The sequence below is a fragment of the Homo sapiens genome, chromosome 17 (genome assembly GCF_000001405.40).
Source record: "Homo sapiens chromosome 17, GRCh38.p14 Primary Assembly".
Classification (NCBI taxonomy): Eukaryota; Metazoa; Chordata; class Mammalia; order Primates; family Hominidae; genus Homo; species Homo sapiens.
This window is the reverse complement of record NC_000017.11, coordinates 16,223,793-16,242,319: the sequence shown is the minus strand read 5'-3', so window position 1 is coordinate 16,242,319 and position 18,527 is coordinate 16,223,793. Positions and strand designations below refer to the sequence as shown.

The following is an 18,527-nucleotide window of genomic DNA, read 5'->3' as shown; positions in this document are numbered from 1 at the left end:
TCAGCACTTTGGGAAGCTGAGGCAGATCACTTGAGCCCAAGGGTTGGAGACCAGCCTGGGTGACATGGCAAGACTCTGGATCTAAAATAATTTTTAAAATTAGCTGGGCATGGTGGTGCACACCTGTAGTCCTAGCTACTTAGGAGGCTGAGGTGGGAAGATTGCTTGAGCCCAGAAGTTAGAGTTTGCAGTGAGACAGGATCATGTCATTGCACTTTAGCCTGATGGCAGAGACCTTGTCTCCAAAAACAAACAAAAAAAAACCCCAAAGAAAAAGTCCTATACTCTGACCCAGTAATTCAATATCTAGAAATTCATTTATGGAAAGAGTCAGAACTTCAAAGAGATTTGCTAAAAAAATTGTAAGTGCTTAAATATTAGAAAGATTTAAATATTCAATAGTAGGAGAATGTTAAATGTTATGGTACATCTTCACGATTAAATCTTTACAATCATTAAAGACTTTTAATGATTATTTAATGACATAGAAAAATGCTAAAAATACTCTCTAGTAAAAAAAGCAGGGTACCAAATTTCTTATACCATTTGATGCTAATTTTGTTTAATACTGAGCAGATAATTCTCATTTTCCTTATAATTTTCTCAAGTATTCCCACCTTACATCTCAATGCTTCCAATTCTCCTCATTATAGTTTGTGGTTTTATTTTCCTCTAACTGATCCCCAGTTCTTATCACTCCAGTTAATCCATGGGCAATTTCATTCACCCCAAAGATTTTCTTTTTTTTTTTTAAGACAGAGTTTCACTCTTGTTGCCCATTCTGGAGTGCAGTGGTGTGATCTCGGCTCACTGCACCGTCCTCCTCCCAGGTTCAAGTGATTCTCCTGCCTCAGCCTCCATGCACCACCACACACGGCTAATTTTGTATTTTTAGTAGAGATGGGGTTTCTCCACGTTGGTCAGGCTGGTCTCAAACTCCTGACCTCAGGTGATCCGCCCACCTCAGCCTCCCAAAGTGCTGGAATTACAGGCCTGAGCCACTGCACCCAGCCCACCCCAAAGACTTTCATCCTCCCATATGCTAAAGATGCCTAATTTATTATCTCTTCATACCCAATTCTCCTCCTTTGCAAACTACCCTCGCTAATCTTTATCCACCTAGATATCTAGGTGGGTTTCCATTATCCCAAATTTCTTTTGTTCGTTGAATTCCTGCCACTTCTTTTTTTTTTTTTTTTTTTTTTGAGAGGGAGTTTCGTTTTTGTTGCCCAGGCTGAAGTGCAATGGCGTGATTTCGGCTCACTGCAACCTCTGCCTCCTGGGTTCAAGCCATTCTCCTGCCTCAGCCTCCCAAGTAGCTGGGATTACAGGGATGTGCCACCACACCCGGCTAATTTTGTATTTTTAGTAGAGACCGGGTTTCTCCATGTTGGTCAGGCTGGTCTCGAACTCCCGACCTCAGGTGATCTGCCCCCCACCCCCTCGGCCTCCCAAAGTGCTGGGATTAGAGGCGTGAGCCACCATGCCCGGCCTATTTCTACCTCTTAAATAATACTGGAGGCCAGGTGCGCTGGCTCACGCCTCTAATCTCAGCATTTTGGGAGGCCAAAGTGGGAGACTGCTTGAGTCCAGGAGTTCAAGACCTGCTTGGGCAAGCTAGCAAGACTCCATCTCTACCGAAAAAAAAAAAAGGTAGCTGGCAAGGTGGTGCATGCCTGTGGTCCCAGTTACTCGGGAGGCTGAGGTGGAAGGATCCCTTGCACCCGGGAGTTAGGCTGCAGTGAGCCGTGATTGTGTCACTGCATTCATCCTGGGTGACAGAGCAAAACTCTGTCTCAAATAAAATGAAAAAAACAAAAGAAAACAAAACCTTGGGGCTGGGGCTGCGCGTGGTGGCTCACATCCATAATCTCAGCACTTTGAGGGGCTGAGGTGGGAGGATTGCTTGAGCCTAGGAGTTCCAAACCAGCCTGGGTTCATTAGTTCCTTCTCACATTGCTATAAAGAAATACCTGAGACTGGGTAATTTATAAGGAAAAGAGGTTTAATTGGCTCATGGCTCTGCAGGCTATAAAGGAAGCATAGCAGTTTCCACTTTTGAGGAGGCCTCAGGAAGCTTCCAATCATGGCAGAAGGCAAAGGGGGAGCAAGCATCCTACATGGCAGAGGCAGGAGCAAGAGAGAGAGGGAGGAAGTACTATACACTTCTAAACAAGCAGATCTTGCCAGAACTCACTGACAAGGACAGTACCAAGGAGGATAGTGCTAAACTATTCATGAGAAATCTGCCTCCATGATCCAATCACCTCCTACTGATCCAACGCCCCACCTCCAATGTTAGGATTACAGTTCCACATGAGATTTTGGTGGGGACACAGATCGAAATCATATCACTGAGTAATTCAGGGAGAACCCATCTCTACGAAAAGTTAAAAAATAAGCCAGGCATGGTGGCCCACACCTGTAGTCCCAGCTACTCAGGAGTTCAAGGCTGCAGTGAGCTAAGATTGCACCACTGCCTAAACAGCCTGGGTGTCAGCGTGACACCTTGTCTCTAAAAAAAAAAAGAGTTGAATTCATCCCATCATCTCCATCTCAGTTGCTGCTACCCTAATTTGAGATATCCTCCCTCCACTGGGACAAAGACAATAGACTCATCTACAATCTTGATCTCTTCAATCCATACTTTCATTAGAGTAATCATTCTGAAGCACAAAACTCATCATCTCTCTCCACTATTCACAGTTTACATTTCTGTATGATATCATGAAGGTTCAACAGAAAGAGATATATGTTTTGCCAAAGCTAATTTGTTCACAGCTCACCTAAACTTTACTGCCTTTTCTTTTTCTTTTTTTTTTCTTTTTTATTTTTTTGAGACAGAGTCTCACTCTGTCACCCAGGCTGGAGTGCAGTGGTGCGATCTCAGCTCACTGCAACCTCCGCCTCCTGGGTTCAAGCGATTCTCCTGCCTTAGCTTCCTGTGTAGCTGGGATTACAGGTGTATGCCACCACGCCTGGCTAATTTTTTGTATCTTTAGTAGAGACGGGGTTTCACCATGTTGGCCAGGCTGGTCTTGAACCCTTGACCTCCTGATCCGCCTGCCTCGGCCTCCCAAAGTGCTGGGATTACAGGCGTGAGCCACCCGGCTGGCCCAAAATTCATTTTTATTTTTCATTTTAATTTTTAGAGACAGGGTTCTGCCATGTTGCCTAGGCTGGCTTTGAACTTCTGGCCTCAAGCAATCCTCCTACCTCAGCCTCCTGAGTATCCAGGACTACAGGGTGCGTGCCACCACACCTAGCTAAATTTTCAGGTCGGGCAAGGTGGCTCCGGCCTGTAATCCCAGCACTTCGGGAGGCCAAGGCGGATGGATCATCTGAGGTCAGGAGTTCAAGACCAACCTGGCCAACATGGCGAAACCCCGTCTTTTTTTTTTTTTTTTTTTGAGACGGGGTCTCACTCTGTCGCACCAGGCTGGAGTGCAGCGGCGTGATCTCAGCTCACTGCAACCTTCACCTCCTGTGTTCAAGCAGTTCTCCTGCCTCAGCCTCATGAGTAGCTGGGATTACAGGCACGTACCACCACATCTGGCTAATTTTTTTATTTTTAGTAGAGACGGGGTTTCACCATTTTGGTCAGGATGGTCTCGAACTCCTGACCTCATGATCCTCCTGCCTCGGCCTCCCAAAGTGCTGGGATTACAGGTGTGAGTCACGGCGCCTGGCAACCCTGTCTTACTAAAAATACAAAAATTAGCTGGGCATGGTGGTGGGCGCCTGTAATCCCAGCTACTCGGGAGGCTGAGGCAGGAGAATGGCTTGAACACAGGAGGAGGAGGTTGCAGTGAGCTGAGATCACACCACTGCACTGCAGCCTGGGTGACAGAGCAAGACCCCGTCTCAAAAAAAAAAAAAAAAGAAAAAAAGAAACACTCCAGTACCTTCCACTAAGGTTTAAATTGTTATATTTTGTCATTTGGGGTTAATCTATATAGGTATTTATTTTTTTCTGAATTATCTTAAAGTAAATTGCAGGCATCATAATCAGTCATATTGTATTTAGTATTAGTTTTGAGTATTTACTGTTTTGAGTATACATAATACCATAATACCAGCCCCTTCTTTCATGTTTTATTAAATTCTTTTTTTTTTTTTTTTTTGAGACGGAGTCTCATCCTGTCACCCAGGCTGGAGTGCAATGGCGCGATCTCGGCTCACTGCAACCTCCATCTCCTGGGTTCAAGCAATTCTCCTGCCTCAGCCTCCCGAGTATCTGGGATTACAGGCGCGTGCCTCCACACCCCACTAATTTTTGTATTTTTAGTAGAGATGGAGTTTCACCATGTTGGCCAGGCTGGTCTCGAACTCCTGACCTCGTGATCCACCCACCTCGGCCTCCCCAAGTGCTGGGATTACAGGCGTGAGCCAATGCGCCCGGCCCTGAAATTCTTGAAAAGATTAAAGAAGAAAATAAGTAATTATGTTCATGTTCTTGGAAAGGACTTTCAGTGTGACAGAAAAGAGATTCAATTTTTTTTTTTTTTTTTTTTGCTTTTGAGACAGGATCTCACTCTGTTATCCGGGCTGGAGTTCAGTGGGCATGATCTTGGCTCACTGCAGCCTCCACCTTCTGGGTTCAGGTGATCCTCTCACCTCAGTCACCCAAGTAGTTGGGATTTCGGGCATGCCACCATGCCCAGCTAATTTTTGTATTTTTAGTAGAGACGGGGTTTCACCACGTTGCCCAGGCTGGTCTCAAATTCCTAGGCTCAAGCGATCTGTCCACCTCGGCCTCCCAAAGTGCTTGGATTACAGGTAGGAGCCACCACACCCAACCAGAGATTCCATTGTAAATATCAATGACGTTAAACAAAACCCCTGAAATATTAACTTTGAATTGTAATCATCTGTATATATTTCTGATTTTTTTCCTTTAAAAAAAAAAATAGGCCAGGCGCAGTGGCTCACGTCTGTAATCCCAGCACTTTGGGAGGCCGAGGAGGGCGGATCACTTGAGGTCAAAAGTTCAAGACCAGCCTGGCCAACATGGCGAAACCCCTTCTCTACTAAAGATACAAAAATTAGCCAGGTGTAGTGGTGTGTGCCTGTAATCCCAGCTACTCAGGAGGCTGAGGCAGGAGAATCACTTTAGCTCAGGTGGCGGACGTTGCAGTGAGCTGAGATGGCACCACTGCACTCCAGCCTGGGCGACACAGCAAGACTCCATCTCAAAAAAAAAAAAAAAAAAAAAAAAGCCAGGTGTGGTGGTGAGTGCCTGTAGTCCCAGTTACTCGGGAGGCTGACACAGGAGGATTGCCTGAACCCAGGAGTTCAAGGCTACAGTGAAGTGTGATCACGCCAGTTCACTCCACCCTGGGTAACAGTGAGATCCTGTCTCTAAAAAATACAAAAGCACATAAAAAACATACATCTTAGCTCTGTCCACTATAAAGGTCAAGTAGCAATGAGAAATAATAACACTATAGCGGCCAGGCGTGGTGGCTCATGCCTGTAATCCCAACACTTTGGGAGGCTGAGGCAGGCAGGTCACCTGAGGTCAGGAGTTCGAGACCAGCCTGACCAACATGGTGAAACCCCTGTCTCTACTAAAAATATAAAAATTAGCTGGGCATGGTGGCGTGTACCTGTAATCCCAGCTACCCAGGAGGCTGAGGCAGGAGACTCGCTGGAACCAGGGAGGCAGAGGCTACAGTGAGCCAAGATCGCACCACTGCACTCCAGCCTGGGCAACAGAGCAAGACTCTGTCTAAAAAAATAAATAAATAACACTATTGCAATGAACACTCCTACTATGCTGGTTATGGACTCTAAATACCATTCCCTACTAAGACAAACAAAGGCTCTTTGGAGAAATGGCTGATTTCAGAATTGGAGCAGGAAAGTATACAAGATAGTACTGGAAAATCTCATTGTACTTGAAAGAAAGGAAGGAAATCATAAAAGACAGAGGTCATATGAAAAGGACATATAAGCCAACATGGAGAGACTCTCTGGCCAAACATAAGACAATTTAGTATTAAAGAACATATGACTGAACCTGAAACACCGAATACATAAAAACGCGTAATTTCCTAATGAAAGTTAGGTGTCCTCCCATTCAAGAAACAAACAATAGATCACGACTGTAGGTGTACGGCGTATCAACTCTTTATTCTGAAAAATGTCAATTAAGGGGAAAAAATTAAGCACCTATCCTGTTTTTTTGTTTCAAATTATTATACATAGCAGGGTAACTAAGTAGCCTTAATTAATAGTGAAGATTCTGTTTTACAAAAGAATTATAGATAGTACACATAGAATATGTGAGACTATTGGAAACTAAGCATTTTGCAACTTCTAGGTAATTAATGATTCAGGCAATAGGCATGAGAACATATGAAAGTTTGACGGGGGTCTTTAAAATAAAGGGAGTCATTGCCATCTGAACTCACTGATCAACTGTAGATTCACTATAGGTCTAACAGATAGTACGTGTCTCCTGATATGATGCAAAGTACATAGTACAGCCTATGAAATATTCTTGCCCCCCAAAAAGTTAGACCCAAATCTGATTTGCCGTGTGCAAAAAAAAAAAAAAAAAAAGACCGGACACAGTGGTTCATGGCTATAATCACAGCACTTTGGGAGGCCGAGGCAGGTGGATCACCTGAGGTCGGGAGTTCAAGATCAGCCTGGCCTGGCCAATATGGTGAAACCCCATCTCTACTAAAAATACAAAAAATTAGCCAGGTGTGGTGGTGGATGCCTGTAATCTCAACTACTTGGGAGACTGAGGGGGGAGAACCGCTTGAATCCAGGAGGTGGAGGTTGCAGTGAGCCGAGATGGCACCACTGCACTCCAGGCTGGGCGGGAACAGAGTGAGACTCCGTCTCAAAAAAAAAAAAAAAAAAAAAAAAAAGAACGTAGACATACAGGAAACAAACAGATAAATCCAGAATGCAGGACATTCTGTATGACAACATAATTCAGTTTCTTCAACAAATCCACTGATTTGGAGAAAAGGGTAATTAAATGCAGAATATCAACCAACTATAATGTGTGGTCCTTGTCGAAATCCTGATTTGAGTAAACCAATTGTAAAAGGAAATCTTTGAGCTACCTGAAGAAATTCTGATATGGACTGGGTGTTGGTGGACACCAAAGAATTACTGTTATTGTTAATATTGTTAGATGTAATGATAATGGCTGTCTGTAGCTAGATGAAAAGTGTCCCATCTTCTTAAGAGATGCAGACCTAAGTACCTTGGGGTAAAAAACCTGGTGGTTGGAGTTTTCTTTAAAATGTTTCATATACACAAAAGATGTTAAGTTAGGGATAGGTGAAGAAACAAGCACTGTATAGTAAAGTCTCGATAATCAGTGGGTTTAGGTAATAGGCAAATGGGGGTTTATGATACTATTCTTTATACTTTTGTATGTTTTTGAAATTTATAATAAAACTTTTTAAAGCTATAGATGTAAAGAGAAGTACCCATGTCAGGAAAAAAAATCCGAACAGAAGTTAAAAAATTTATTTCAATCACGCTGTCATTTAAAAACAAATGTGAAGTTATTATTATTATTATTTTTGAGACGGAGTCTTGCTCTCTCATCCAGGCTGAAGTGCAATGGTGTGATCTTGGCTCACTGCAACCTCTGCCTCCCAGGTTCAAGCGATTCTCCTGCCTCAGCTTCCCAAGTAGCTGAGATTACAGGCGTAGGCCAATACGCCCGGCTAATTTTTGTAGTTTTAGTAGATGCGGGGTTTTACCATGTTTGGCCAGGTTGGTCTTGAACTCCTGACCTGAGGTGATCTGCCCACCTCGGCCTCCCAAAGTGCTGGGATTACAGGCGTAAGCCACTGTGCCCCGCTGTGAAGTTATTTTATGTAGACTTTTCTTTTCTTTTTTGAGATGAAGTCTCACTGTCGCCCAGGATGGAGTGCAATGGCTTGATCTCAGCTCACTGCAACCTCCAACTCCTGGGTTCAAGTGATTCTCCTGCCTCAGCCTCTTTAGTAGCTGGACCACAATGCCCAGCTAATTTTTGTATTTTTAGTAGAGATGCGGTTTTACCATGTTGGCCAGGCTGGTCTCAAACTCCTGAGACCGCCCACCTCGGCCTCCCAAAGTACTGGGATTACAAGCGTGAACCATGGCACCGAGCCCTAGACTTTTCATACAAGATGTTCTCAGCCACTCACATTAGTTTTTTGTGTGTCTTTTGAGTATATCACTGCATATTTATTGCCAATAAATTTCTACATTGTTAAAAGATATATTACCTGTTGTCAATAATCATTACACTGGAGAGTGGAATCCCCAAAACATCACAGCTCTGCAAAAGTTCTTTCTTACGAGTCTCTCCTTGATTGTAGTAATTTCCTGAGGGTAACAAATATACAGTGGTAGATTTTTTTTTTTTAACAGTGGAGACCTATCTATTCACTCATTCTTATCCTGTTTTTGTTCCTTAAAGGATTTAAGCTGCCTGAAAATGTGTGATTATGATACAAAGTTTAAGAAAACACGACACCAAGATACTCCTGTGAGAAGACTACCAGTAGCACAATCTTTAGAATCACCATTCACAATTCTTTCCCATCTTTGTATCTATATACCTATCTGTCTGTCTGCATTTCAGTCACATGCTAGAGGCAGCATGGTACACAGCCAAGGGTACTAACTTTGAAGTTAAGCAGATTTAGGATCACACCATGTACGACCACTCAGAACAACTGGGGCCCCCTCTTCATTGACAGTCCTCAAATCCTGTTTAACATTGATTTAAGGATGAAGCTTTCCAAGCTCATTCTTGTTGGTATAGAAAAAGAAAATAGAGGTTGCTACTCCTGAGTATTACAGGAAAATGTGTAGATACCATTTAGGAAAGCTTCCTCTTTTGAAGAGTTTCATAGCCAGCTATCCAGCATACCCCAAGGGGATCTTGATCCCATTGGCACCCCAAACAACTTATATATTCTTTATTTTCCCAAAACATATACTATATTCCCTAAAAATAGTTCTGGTAAATAAAACTCCTCTGTAACCTTACAAATAATAATACAGTGACATTTTGGTATCACTTAAGTTGGACTCATTTTGAGCAACTGTCCAGCTAATGCACCTGTTACTTCAACTCTCCAATAAATAATTGCAGGTCTGATTTGTGCAAGTTACTTAACTTTCTTGAGCCACAGTTTCTTCACCAGTTAAGTGGAGATAATGGCCATTTTTTTTTTTTTTAAGAGTCTTGCTCTGTCGCCCTGGCTGGAGTACAGCAGCGCGATCTTGGCTCACTGCAACCTCTGCCTCCAGAGTTCAAGCGATTCTCCTGCCTCAGCTCAGTAGTTAGGATTACAGGCACCCGCCACCACACCGGGCTAATTTTTGTATTTTTATTTGAGATGGGGTTTCACCATGTTGGACAGGCTGGTCTTGAACTCCTGACCTTGTGATCCATCCGCCTCAGCCTCCCAAAGTGCTGGGATTACAAGTGTGAGCCACTGCGCCCAGCAAACAGGTTTAGTTTACAGGTTTAGTTTTGTATTGTCCTCATCATACCTTTTTTTGCGTTTTTTTTTTTTAAGTCATAAACTATTTTGTGTATATTTTGGGTTTCCCTCAAATCTCTACACATACCCTCTCCCATTTTTTCTCCCTAGATTACTTGATTTTTGGTGATAAATAGTCTCATGTACATTAGTGTTGCAATTGCTAAGTTCAAAGGCTGTGCACATTAGTCTATGATTATGGTTATCAGAAACTGCTTAGAATTGAGGCTAATGTGTTTTATTGGGGCCAGTTTTATTGCTTTGTGTTTGAACTAAGGAACTTACAACAGTTCTGGAAGCTGAAGTCAAGGACCATTTTAACTATTTTCAATAAGTTTGGTGAACCTGTAGGCACTTAACAGAACACATGTCTGAGATCTTTCAGCAGCTTTTAACTGATACATTCTAGAACAATGTCCAACTAAGACAGGTGCACCCTAGGATGCACAAAATAATCTTTTGGGGTGGTGGAGAAAAAGCATTAGGATGTCTCCCCCTAATTTTCTTTTCTTTCCTTTTTTCTGAGACAGAGTTTTGCTCTTGTTGCCCAGGCTGGAGTGCAGTGGTGTGATCTCAGTTCACTGCAACCTCCGCCTCTCAGGTGCAAGCGATTCTCTTGCCTCAGCCTCCTAAGTAGCTGGGTTTACAGGTGCCCACCACCACGCCTGGCTAATTTTTGTATTTTTAGTAGAGACGGGATTTCATTATGTTGGCCAGGCTGGTCTTGAACTCCTGACCTCAGGTGATCCACCCACCTCTGCCTCCCAAAGTGAAGGGATTACAGGAGTGAGCCACAGTGCTCAGCCATCTCCCCCTAATTTGTTTACCTTGTTTTTTATAAATGTAAGTTTTTGTTAATGTTTTTAATGTACACATTAGTCCATATACTTATGATATATTGTAAATAAATAAAAAAACTCAACATTTTTTACTGATAGGAAAATGTGACCAAAGAGTTTGAGACCATTATTCTAGGAAACAGAAAATAATAAAATTAATGTAATTTCTAGATGTAGAACTACATTATGTGTGTGTTTGTGTATAAGCTCATGCACAATTGTATGCTTAGTAGTCTTCCCATAACATACTTCTCAGTCATAACTAGCAATCATAATCACATTTAATACAAAGTAAAGACATTTTGTAAAGACTCAAATTTATACATCATAATTTATAAGGGTAAACATTTTATTTTACTTAAAAAATTTAAAATTAGTTTATTCTAAATAGGTAATAGATTTATATGGTTAAAAAAAAATCAAAGCTGGGCATAGTGGCTCATGTCTGTATTCCCAGCACTTTGGAAGGCTGTGGCAAGAGGATCACTTGAGGCCAGGAGTTCAAAACCAGCCTGGTCAACATAGTGAGACCCTGTTTTCACAAAAGAAAAATTTTAAAAATTAGCTGGGCATGGTGGCTCACGCCTGTAGTCCCACTGACTCGGGAGGCTGAAGTGGGAGGAACGCTTGAGCCTGGGATTTTGAGGCTATAGTGAACCATGACCACACCACTGCACTACAGCCTGGGTGACAATGTGAGACCCTGTGTCTCAAAAAAAAAAAAAAAAAAGAAAAGAAAATAAATCAGTAAGAAGCTGGGTGTGGTGGCTCATGCCTGTAATCCCAGCTCCTAGCACTTTGGAAGGCGGGCACACTGTTTAAGGCCAGGAATTCAAGACCAGGCTGGGGAATATAGCAAGACCTCTCTCTACCAAAAAAAAAAAAAAAAAAAAAAGAAAAACCAAAACCAAAAAAAAAACCATATAAAGGAAAAAAGCTCCTCTCCCACTCCAACCCGGGAAGTTTTAATTTGTTAGAACAAGAAATGGACTGGGCATGAAGGCATCATGGTCCCAACACTATCTGTCTTTTTACTAACTATATGAATTTGGAGAAATTCTTTAATTTTTGTAATTTTATTCTTTAAAAATAAAATTTTTACCTTTATACATTGTGATGTATAAATTTGAGTCTTTACAACGTGACTTTATTTTGTATTAAATGTGATTATGAGGCTGGCCACGGTGGCTCAGGCCTGTAATCCTAGCCTGTAATTACTTGGGAGGCTGAGGCAGGAGAAAAGCTTGAACCCAGGAAGTAGAAGTTGCAGTGAGCTGAGACTGTGCCACTGCACTCCAGCCTGGTAACAGAGTGAGACTCCATCTCAAAAAAAAAAAAAAGTGATTATGACTGCTAGATTGCTAGTTACGACTGAGAAGTATGTTATGGGAAGGAATAGCTGCAATGTTTTTCCTTTAACATGACCAAGTAATTCTAAAATGTATTTGGAAGACAAAATGGTACAAGTTTCTTCCCCTATAAAATGAGGGAATTTAGATGCTATGTCAAGATCTATTCGGGGTAACAGAAACCACATCAAATAGTTACAACAGCAAGAATTTAATGCAAAGATTTTGACGCATAACTGAGGGAGGATCTAAGGGACAAAAGGAACAGTGAAGTAACCCAGAGTTTAGAGATAGCAAGAAGTGACTACCAACCCTCGGTTGGCAAGGTAAAGGAAGGAGGCAGTGTTACTGGAGCCCAGAGGCCTGGGTTCCCAAAGGAAGCTGAAACTAAGAGAGCTAGATCCTCTTCTATTAGGATGTGTCCACAGAACCCAGTCTAAGAAATCATGACTTGGCCAGGCACAGTGCCTCATGCCTGTAATCCCAGCACTTTGAGAGGCCGAGGCAGGTGGATCACGAGGTCAAGAGATTGAGACCATCCTGGCCAACATAGTGAAACCCCATCTCTACTAAAAATACAATAATTAGCTGGGCATGGTGGGCACACGCCTGTAGTCCCAGCTACTCGGGAGGTTAAGGCAGGAGAATCTCTTGAACCTAGGAGGTGGAGGTTGCAGTGAGCTGAGATCGTGCCACTGCACTCCAGCCTGGTGACAGAGCGAGACTCCGTCTCAAAAAAAAAAAAAAAAAAAAAATCATGACTTTAAAATGAAACTAGAATCAGAAAATGGGCAAAGGACTTGAATAGGTATTCTCTAAAGAAGATATATAGATGGCCAATAAGCATGTGAAAAGATGCAAGATGCTCATCATCCTTAGTCATCAGGGAAATGAAAATCAAAACCACAATGTGACATCATCACTGCACACTTACTAGGATGGCTATAGTCCAAAAAATGGAAAATTACAAATGCTGACAAAGATGTGGAGAAACTGGAACCATAGTTCATTGCTGGTGGCAACGTAAAACTGTACAGTTGCTGCAGAAAACAGTTTGTCAATTCTCAAAAAATTTAAATACAGAATTACCATATGTCTCAGCAATTATACTCAAAAAAAAAAAAAAAAAAAAGGAAAACCGGTACTCAAATAAATACTTGTACACCAATGTTCATAGAAGCATTATTCATAATAGCCCCAAATTGGAAATAACCCAAGTGCCTATCATTAGATGAATGATAAACAAAATGTGGTATATATACATACATATATATATGTATGTATATATACACAATGGAATATTAATAAAGCCATAAAAAGAAATGAAGTTTTTTTTTGAGACAGGGACTTGCTCTGTCACCCAGGCCGGAATGCAGCAGACTGATCAGAGCTTACTGCAGCCTTGACCTCCTGGATTCAAGGGATTCTCCCACTTCAGCCTCCCAAGTAGCTGGGACTATAGGCACTCGCCACCCAGACTGGCTAATTTTTTTATTTTTATTTTTTGTAAAGACGAAATCTCACTATGTTGTCCAGACTGGTCTTGAACTCCTGGTCTCAAGGGATCCTTCCACTTCAGCCTCCCAAAGTGCTGGGATTACAGGTGTGAGCCACTGAGCTCAACCAGAAATGAAGTTCTGATACATGCCACAATATGGATGAACTTTGAAAACAGTATGCTAATTAGCATAAGCCAGGCATAAAATAACAATTATTGTATGATTCCACTTATTCGAGTTACCTAGAATAGACAAATTCATAGAGATAGAAAGAATGGTGGTTACCAGAGGCTTGGGAGAGGAGGGGAAAAGGAATGCTAAACAGGTATAGAGTTTCTATTTGGGATGATGAAATAGTGGTGATGGTTACATAATACTATGAAAGTGCTTACTGCCATGGAATTGAACACTTAAAAATGTTTAAAATCGCCGGGCGTGGTGGCTTACGCCTGTAATCCCATCACTTTGGGAGGCCAAGGCGGGCGGATCACGAGGTCAGGAGATCGAGACCATCCTGGCTAACACGGTGAAACCCCGTCTCTACTAAAAATACAAAAAATTAGCCGGGCGTGGTGGCGGGAGCCTGTAGTCCCAGCTACTCGGGAGGCTGAGGCAGGAGAATGGTGTAAGTAAACCCGGGAGGCGGAGCTTGCAGTGAGCGTACATCGCGCCACTGCACTCCAGCCTGGGCGACAGAGCAAGACTCCGTCTCAAAAAAATAAAATAAAATAAATAAAGAAATAAAATAAAATAAAATCGCTGGGCGCAGTGGCTCACGCCTGTAATCCTAGCACTTTGGGAGGCCGAGGAAGGTGGATCACCTCAGGTCAGGAGTTCAAGACAAGCCTGGCCAACATGGTGAAACTCCATTCTCTAATAAAAATATAAAAAAATTAGCCGGGCATGGTGGTGGTGGGTGCCTGTAATCCCAGCTATTCAGGGGGCTGAGGTAGGAGAATTGCTTGAACCTGGGAGGCGGAGGTTGCAGTGAGCCGAGATCATGCCATTGCACTCTAGTGTGGGCAACAAGAGTGAAACTCCATCTCAAAAAAAAAAAAAAAAAAGTTTAAAATGGTAAGTTCTTGTTATGTATGTCTTACCACAATTTAAATAATATTAAAAACTGGATTTTCAATGAATAAAATCTTTCAATTATGAAATTGCTGGGATTATAGGCGTTATCCCTATAAAACAGAAGTTGTCTTTAAAAGATCACTAAGAGAAAAAAATTAAAAAGGCTGGGTGCAGTGGCTCATGCCTGTAATCCCAAACTTTGGGGGGCCAAGGTGGGTGGATCACCTGAGGTCGGGAGTTCGAGACCAGCCTGACCAACATGGAGAAACCCAGTCTTTACTAAAAATACAAAATTAGCCGGGCATGGTGGCACATGCCTGTAATCACAGCTACTTGGGAGGCTGAGGCAGGAAAATCGCTTGAACCTGGGAGGCAGAGGTTGCAGTGAGCCGAGATCATGCCATTGTACTCCAGCCTGGGCAACAAGAGTGAAACTCCATCTCAAAAAAAAAAAAAAAAAAAGAAAAGAAAATTAAAAAGAAAAATGAGCTCATATCTCTGCAGATCAAGAAACATTGTCACATGCTATATTATCAGCCAATATAGCCATACTTGCGAGTAGTGTCATTTCTCATTATTCCCAAAAGGATTGCATTCATATCGACTCTTACTAATGAAATTGCTACCTTTCACTGGGTGAGGTGGCTCACGCCTGTAATCCCAGCACTTTGGGAGGCCAAGGCAGGCGGATTACTTGAGGTCAGGAGTTTGAGACTAGCCTGGCCAACATGGTGAAACCCTGGCTCTACAAAAATACCAAAATTAGCTGGTCATGATGGTGGCACGCGCCTGTAATCCCAGCTACTTGGGAAGCTGAGGCAGGAGAGTCACTTGAACCCGAGAGGTGGAGGTTGCAGTGAGCCGAGATCGTGCCACTGCACTCCAGCCTGGGTGACAGAGGGAGACTCCGTCTCAAAAAAAAAAAAGAAAAAACCCAAAAAAGCAGTATTAAAAATAACCCCTAATAAGTTCTATTTAGGCAATATGGTAAATCAGATATGCAGAGAAACCCTCAGGATGAATACCTGAACATGTGAGATAAAAGGCAAACATGTTCTAGAATGCATGGTTTAACTAGCAGGAAAGTAAGGGATATACTTGAAGGACTAAAACAATAGGTAGACATAAATCCTGAGAGGTATTATGCGGCTGACCCAGAGCACTTTGAGAACATCTACATATCCTTGGTGGCCTAAAGTCAAGGGAGCAGCAGATAAAGCTTGGACACAGATAAGGAGACCTCCACATAAAGACAGGACCTTCAAAAGGCAATACCTTCACTGGATGAACCAGAAAAAAACTTGCCCTAGACAGATATGGTGGGGCTACATCCTATCTGTAGGCTTGGTTCTAGCAGAAGGGAAAATAAGAAAAAATGTCACCCCCTAAGAATTGCTAATCACATACTCTCCTTTACTTGGTGTGATAGACTGTATTTTCCAAAAGTAGCTACAGCAATATTTCTAGTCCCATATGCACTTGTAGAATGTCTACATTCCCCTTTAGGAGGTGGAATCTAATTCTCTCCTTAAACCTGGATGTGGCTTATGATACTGCAAGATTTTTAAGGATAGGTCATAAAAGGAAATATGGTTATCCCTAGCACAGGCTCTTTCTTAGGACACTTGCCCAAGAACCCAGCCACCAGGTTGTGAGGAAGCCCAGGTCACATGGATATACCATATGTGGATGTTCTGGCTGACATCTGTAGCAAAGTCCCCAGCTGACAGCCAGATACGTAAGTGCATGAGTATTCAGGTGATTCCAGCCCCTAGTCTTTGGGTCCTCCAAATGAGGTACTAAACATTGTGAGGCAGAGACAAGTATACTTTGTCTGAAACCATGAAAAAAAAGGTGATTGGTTTTTCTTGTTGTTGTTTGTTTTTGAGACATGGGCTTAGTCTATAAGGCATGATCATCATAGCTTACTCTAGTCGCAAACTCCTGGGCTCAAGTGTTCTTCCACCTCAGCCTCCCAAGTAGCTGAGACTACATGCAGCTGCCACCAAGCCTGGCTAACTTTTTTTTTTTTTTTTTCCTGGTCTGGCTATGTTGCCCAGGCTGAACTCTTGGGTTAAGTGATCCTCCTGCTTCGGCCTCAGAAAGTGCCAGGATTATAGGTGTGTGCCAGCACACAGGCTGGAAAGATTTAATTATGGTTTTAAGCTACAAGGTCTTGAGACAATTTGTTTCACAGCATTCCACAGTGAATGCTCTTGGGTTTGATCCCTGAATTTATATGACCTCTATGGCCTGAAAAATCTCAATCTAAAATTTTAGAGTGATGAGAGGTAGGTAGTGCCCTTAGCTACCTGGCTGAAGCTAAAGTAAATCACCAAAATATTACCACAAATATGGTTCTAAGAAACACGTGCAAAAAACAAAACAACAACAACAACAAAAGAAAACAAAAGGCCAGGCACGGTGGCTCACGCCTGTAATCCCAGGTGTGAAACCCCATCTCTACTGAAAAAAAAAAAAAAAATTAGCCGGGCATGGTGGCAGGTGACTGTAGTCCCAGCTACTCAGGAGGCTGAGGCAGGAGAATGGCGTGAACCCAGGAGGCGGAGCTTGCAGTGAGCTGAGATTGTGCCACTGCACTTCAGCCTGGGCAACAGAGCTAGACTCCGTATCAAAAAAAAAAAAAAAAAAAAAAAGAAACGTGCTTACATTTAAAAAAATCACAAAATACACATGGAACCGAGTCACCCCGAATGAATTACTAGAACAAAGAACAGAATCAGATATACAGACTGCAGAAACTGGAATTATTAGAAGCAGATATAAATGTTTAATATATTTAAAGAAATTAAAGAGGATACTGAAGTATGAGAAAGTAACAGACTATATTTGCAAAAGGAATGTCTACACATAAGAACAGATTAATGGACACAATGACATAATCATCTCAATACACATTTAAGACCTTAATTATAAAACTATTAACAGATAGTAAAGAAGGCCAACATATAATAAATGGAAGCATACCATAGTATCAGAGACAGAAAGGCTTTATATTGGAAATGTCAGTTCTCCTTATATTAATCAGTAGAGTCAGTGAAATTCCAATAAAAATGCCAGCAAGGGCCACGCACTGTGGCTCACGCCTGTAATCCCAGCACTTTGGGAGGCTGAGGTGGGCGGATCACGAGGTCAGGAGATCGAGACCATCCTGGCTAACACGGTGAAACCCTATTTCTGCTAAAAATACAAAAAATTAGCCGGGCATGGTGGCACATGCCCGTAGTCCCAGCTATTTGGGAGGCTGAGGCAGGAGAATCGCTTGAACCTGGGAGGTGGAGGTTGCAGTGAGCCGAGACTGCGCCACTGCACTCCAGCCTGGACGTCAGAGTGAGACTCTGTCACAAGGGGGAAAAAATGTCAGCAAGATTTTTCCTTGAACATCACCAAGCTAATTCTAAAATGTATTTGGGGGCTGGGCATGGTGGCTCATCCTGTAATCCCAGCACTTTGGGAGGCCAAGAAGGATTGGATCACCTGAGGTCAAGAGTTGGAGACCAGCCTGGCCAACATGGCAAAATCCCGTCTCTACTAAAAATACAAAAATTAGCTGGGCGTGGTGGTGCATGCCTGTAGTCCCAGCTACTCGGGAGGCTGAAGCAGGGGGATCACTTGAATCCAGGAGGCGGAGGCTACAGTGAGCCAAGATTGTGCAACAGTGAGGCTCTGTCTTCCCCCATAAAAAAGGTATTTGGAAAAAGGGTCAAAAACAGCAAACATACCCTGAAGAACAATCAGAAGACTATTCATATCAGATAATAGCGCTTCTATAATATAGTGTAGCTTTCTTTTCCCCCTGAGACGGAGTCTTGCTCTGTCGCAAGAGCAAGAGGCTGGAGTGCAGTGGCGCAATCTTGGCTCACTGCAACCTCCGCCTCCCAGGTTCAAGTGATTCTCCTGCCTCAGCCTCCTGAGTAGCTGGGACTACAGGCGCACATCACCATGCCCAGCTAATTTTTGTATTTTTAGTAGAGACAGGGTTTCACCACGTTGGCCAAGATGGTCCTGCTCTCTTGAACTAGTGATCCACCCGTCTCTGTCTCCCAAAGTGCTGGGATTACAGGCGTGAACCAACACTTCTGGCCTAGTGTAGCTTTTATAAGCTACAGTAATTAAGACAGGGTTGTTGAGATGACTAAAGTGTATAGACCAGAATTACATGGAAATCTGATATATGAGAGCTGGCAGTGCAGTCTAGAGAAGAAAGGCTGGGCTGAATTGATTTTC

At 42.7% G+C, this 18,527-nt stretch overlaps 1 protein-coding gene across 6 annotated transcripts in view; it reads right to left on the bottom strand.

Moving 5' to 3' along the window:
• PIGL (phosphatidylinositol glycan anchor biosynthesis class L) overlaps positions 1-18,527 on the bottom strand; it is a 109,202-nt gene that overhangs the window by 84,092 nt on the left and 6,583 nt on the right. For 5 of the 6 annotated variants that reach the window (XR_007065545.1, NM_004278.4, NM_001411072.1 and 2 more), the window contains exon 2: positions 8,250-8,349. The exons of the other annotated variant lie outside the window; for it this stretch is intronic. Coding sequence is in view for 4 of the 5 variants with exons in the window: in NM_004278.4 (NP_004269.1) it covers positions 8,250-8,349 (100 nt within the window). In the remaining variant the exon portion in view is untranslated. The remainder of the gene's footprint in view (positions 1-8,249; positions 8,350-18,527) is intronic. 6 annotated transcript variants of the gene reach the window in all.